Source organism: Homo sapiens, chromosome 10 (assembly GCF_000001405.40).
Source record: "Homo sapiens chromosome 10, GRCh38.p14 Primary Assembly".
Lineage (NCBI taxonomy): Eukaryota > Metazoa > Chordata > Mammalia > Primates > Hominidae > Homo > Homo sapiens.
The window spans coordinates 57924306-57928148 of record NC_000010.11 but is presented as its reverse complement, the minus strand read 5'-3'; the positions used below and the strand labels follow the sequence as shown (position 1 = coordinate 57928148).

Here is a 3843-nt window from a genome sequence, read left to right as displayed (position 1 = left end):
TTTTCTCATTTTGACTTTGCTGTTCCAGGACGTGTCTCCTAGTTTACTTCAGTGTCTCATGTGCCGGTTTTCAGCATCCTATTTCACTCATAAAAATGTCTTCAATTATAAAGAACTTTCTTTTTTTATTGATAGAAAAGCAAGTTTGAGTACATGAGAAACTGAGTAGATATGAATGTCTAGGTCTTTTGCTGAGTTGGAGAAGAGTGAGTACTAAATTAGGAAGAAAATCAAGGCATCTCTTACTGTCATGGTAAGCTTGAGACAGATCTCCACTAGAAGGCATGCTACATCGCGGGGGAGGCAGGGGGTATGGATATTTATCTACTTGGTTCTTTCAGTGCTTAATACTCAATGCCTAGACAGGTGCTTGAGATATAATGTAGGCTCTCTCTTTATATTTGTTGAATGAGTAAGTGAATAAATGAATAAATTAAAAAATGAATAAAATAATAATAGGTTACCAAATGAAGATATCAAATAGAGTCTGGAGAGTCACAGAGACTAGAGCTCAGGGAAGAGAGGTCAGTACCAGAGATATAAACACATGTTCATTCAAGAAAAGTATGAAAAGTATGATGATGGTGATGGTAATATACTTTGGATATCTGTCCCCACCCAAATCTCATGTTGAATTGTAATCCCCAGAGCCAGAGGTGAGGCCTGGTGGGAGGTGTTTGGGTCATGGGGGTGGATCCCTCATGGCTTGGTGTTGTCTTTGTGATAGTGAGTTCTCATGACATCTGGTCATTTAAAAGTGTGTGGCACCTCCTCTCCAGTCACTCTCTCTCTTGTTCCTGCTTTTGCCATGTGAATAGCCTGCTTCCCCTTCACCTTCTGCCATGACTGTAAGCTTCTTGAGGCTTCCCCAGAAGCTGAGCAGATGCTAGCACCATGTTTCCTGTACAGCCTGCAGAACGATGAGCCAATTAAACTTCTTTCCTTTATAAATTACCCAGGCTCAGGTATTTCTTTATAGCAATGCAAGAATGTAGATGGTGATGATGACAATGACAAACCATTACACAGAGATATTGTTAACATTTTTGTACATAAGTTTTCTATGCAAATACTAGAAAAAATAAAATTGCACTGTATATACAGTTTGTAATTTGCTATTTTCTGTTAATATTTTATGGCTTTCACTGTCACCACATATTCATTTACACTATTTGAACTGATGGCATGTTGTGTTTTTGAATAAAATGTGTGTTCTTCCATAGTATATTTATTAAATATTTATTTATATCAAATTCCAAATTCTGTTAGATTTTTTATTATGCTTTCTCCTAGCAAACTCTGTGAATATTTTAAATGATTACCTTAGAAGAAATTTTCTAAAAGTGCAAATAATGAGTCAAAACAATTGAAATTGCGCTTAATAAAAGCTTAATGGGCACTGCCACATTCCAATCCAAAAAGATAAATTCCCAGTACTGATGTATAACAGCGCTTTCTTCTGCAACAGCAGATGTTACCTTTCTCTTTTTTTTTTTTTTTTGAGATGGAGTCTCGCTCTGTCGCTCAGGCTGGAGTGCAGTGGCGTGATCTTGGCTCACTGCATGTCCGCCTCCCAGGTTCACTCCATTCTCCTGCCTCAGCCTCCTGAGTAGCTGGGACTACAGGTGCCTGCCACCATGACCGGCTAATTTTTTGTATATTTAGTAGAGACGGGGTTTCACTGTGTTAGCCAGGATGGTCTCGATCTCCTGACCTCATGATCTTCCCACCTCGGCCTCCCAAAGTGCTGGGATTACAGGCGTGAGCCCCCGCACCAGGCCTACCTTTTTCTTTTCTTTGCTATTTTTTCCTTTTCTGACAGGTCTCTATTGCTTTGAAAACTTTCAAATAATGTAACTTTATATGAGGACACTTTGGGGAAAAAGTCAGTTTTTTACTAAGAGCAGAGAAATAGTTTTACCACTATGTGCATCTGTAACATTTTAAGGAAAACAAGTGGGTGTTTTAGTCACTTGGGGCTGATGCAGTAAAATCCATAGACTGAGTGGCTTAAACAACAAAAATTTATTTCTCACAGTTCTGTAGGCTGGAAGCTTGAGATCATGGTGCCTCATGGTTGGGTTCTTGGTGAGGACCCTCTTTCTCATTCACAGATGGCCATCTTCTTCTCATTTTGTCCTCACATGGCTGAGAGCAGAGAGAGAGGTGCAAGCTATCTTATTACTCTTCTTATATGGGTGCTAATCTCATACTTGAGGATTGTACCCCAATTGTTTAATTTACCCTCCAAAGGCCCCAGCTCCTAATACCATCACATTGAGGATTAGGATGTCAACATATGAATTTGGTGAAGATACACTATTCAATATGTAGCAGTGGGGATACGTTCTCTTAGAAACATGAATCTGATCATTCCCAAATACCTGATTTTAAATTATTTAAGCCAAAGAAACTCTGTCAGTACATTCAATGTCACATTAATTGAATAACAGCAGCTATTTTATTTTCTGTGAAGTAAGACTGATTAAAAAGTCTCTCCTTTATCCTTTGAGATCTACGGATGACATAAAAATATAGAGAGGTACTAACATAAAATAGGAAAATATTTAAGTAAATCTAAATTGGAAAAGTTTTAGAAAAATGATTTGCATATATGTTCTTTAGAAATATTTACAAACTTTCACTTATATATCCTCATATATTTTCTTTTACATCTCACTTAGTATTTAAATAAGAAATGTTTTCTCTGAAGCTAGTAATAAAACCAAGTCAATGTCTCAGCATAAGGTTTATATCCTCTTTTTATTTTATGAATCTCTCCGTGTTGAGACAAACACATACCTGTGGTTCTCAAGAGCAACAATCTCATTTTTCAAACAGGCGAACACTGTAAGTGATAATCCCATGACTGCAGAGGATGTGAAAGGCAATAAACTCCTTCTGCTTCATAAACAGAGATGAAACCTTTACTGCTGAAATCTCTACTGCTGAGTGACAGGTTCCACCACTCTGGGAACCTGTTTGTTGTGCAAACAACAAAGCAAGATTGTCAGACCAAGGATGTGAAGATTTTTCTTACTCTTTCAAAAAAAATTTGCTTTAAAGGCAAAATTAAAGAAATTTACATGAAGAAATAGAAACAGCAAGCAATGGAGGCTGTAATTGTATAGAGGAACGGGGTGAGATGTATCTTCAATCAGGATATCAGAGGCAAGAATTGAGATCTATGCCAACAGAAACAGAAAGGTGAATGGGTTACTCAAAACATTATGACTGGGAGCATTTTCTGAGGCTTAGAGAAAAAAATCAGACACAAGAAAGGAGGAATGAGCATATATTGTATATATACCAAAACATAGTATCAAACTGCATATTTAAGTCATCACTTGGATAACTTTTCACTTTGAAAAGCAATACTAAAGAAAAAATAGAGGGAAGATTTTAGGAATTCCCTGCCATTCTACCACCCAAAGACTTTCCCATTTTGATGTGTGTCTTTCTTCAATGGTTTTAAATGTGCAGGTTTTTAAAAACCTTTTTTTTGGCCGGGCGTGGTGGCTCACGCCTGTAATCCCAGCACTTTGGGAGGCCGAAGCGGGCAGATCACAAGGTCAGGAGATCCAGACCATCCTGGCTAACACGGTGAAAACCCATCTCTACTAAATATACAAAAAATTAGCCGGGCGTGGTGGCGGGTGCCTGTAGTCCCAGCTACTCAGGAGGCTGAGGCAGGAGAATGGCGTGAACCTGGCAGGTGGAGCTTGCAGTGAGCCAAGATCGCGCCACTGCACTCCAGCCTGGGGGACAGAGCAAGACTCCACCTCAAAACAAAAACAAAAACAAAAACAAACAAAAAAAAACTTTTTTAAATTATAAAAGTTA

The 3843-nt window shown here is 38.3% G+C and overlaps 1 long non-coding RNA gene across 1 annotated transcript; it reads right to left on the bottom strand.

Annotated features, from left to right (window-relative positions):
• Window positions 1-2006: 2006 nt before the first annotated feature.
• Window positions 2007-2885, bottom strand: LOC124902547 (uncharacterized). The gene is made up of 2 exons (XR_007062373.1): window positions 2803-2885; window positions 2007-2148 (listed from the first exon to the last, which is right to left on the bottom strand). It is a non-coding gene; the product is annotated as an uncharacterized LOC124902547 (long non-coding RNA).
• Between the last annotated feature and the right edge of the window lie 958 nt (window positions 2886-3843).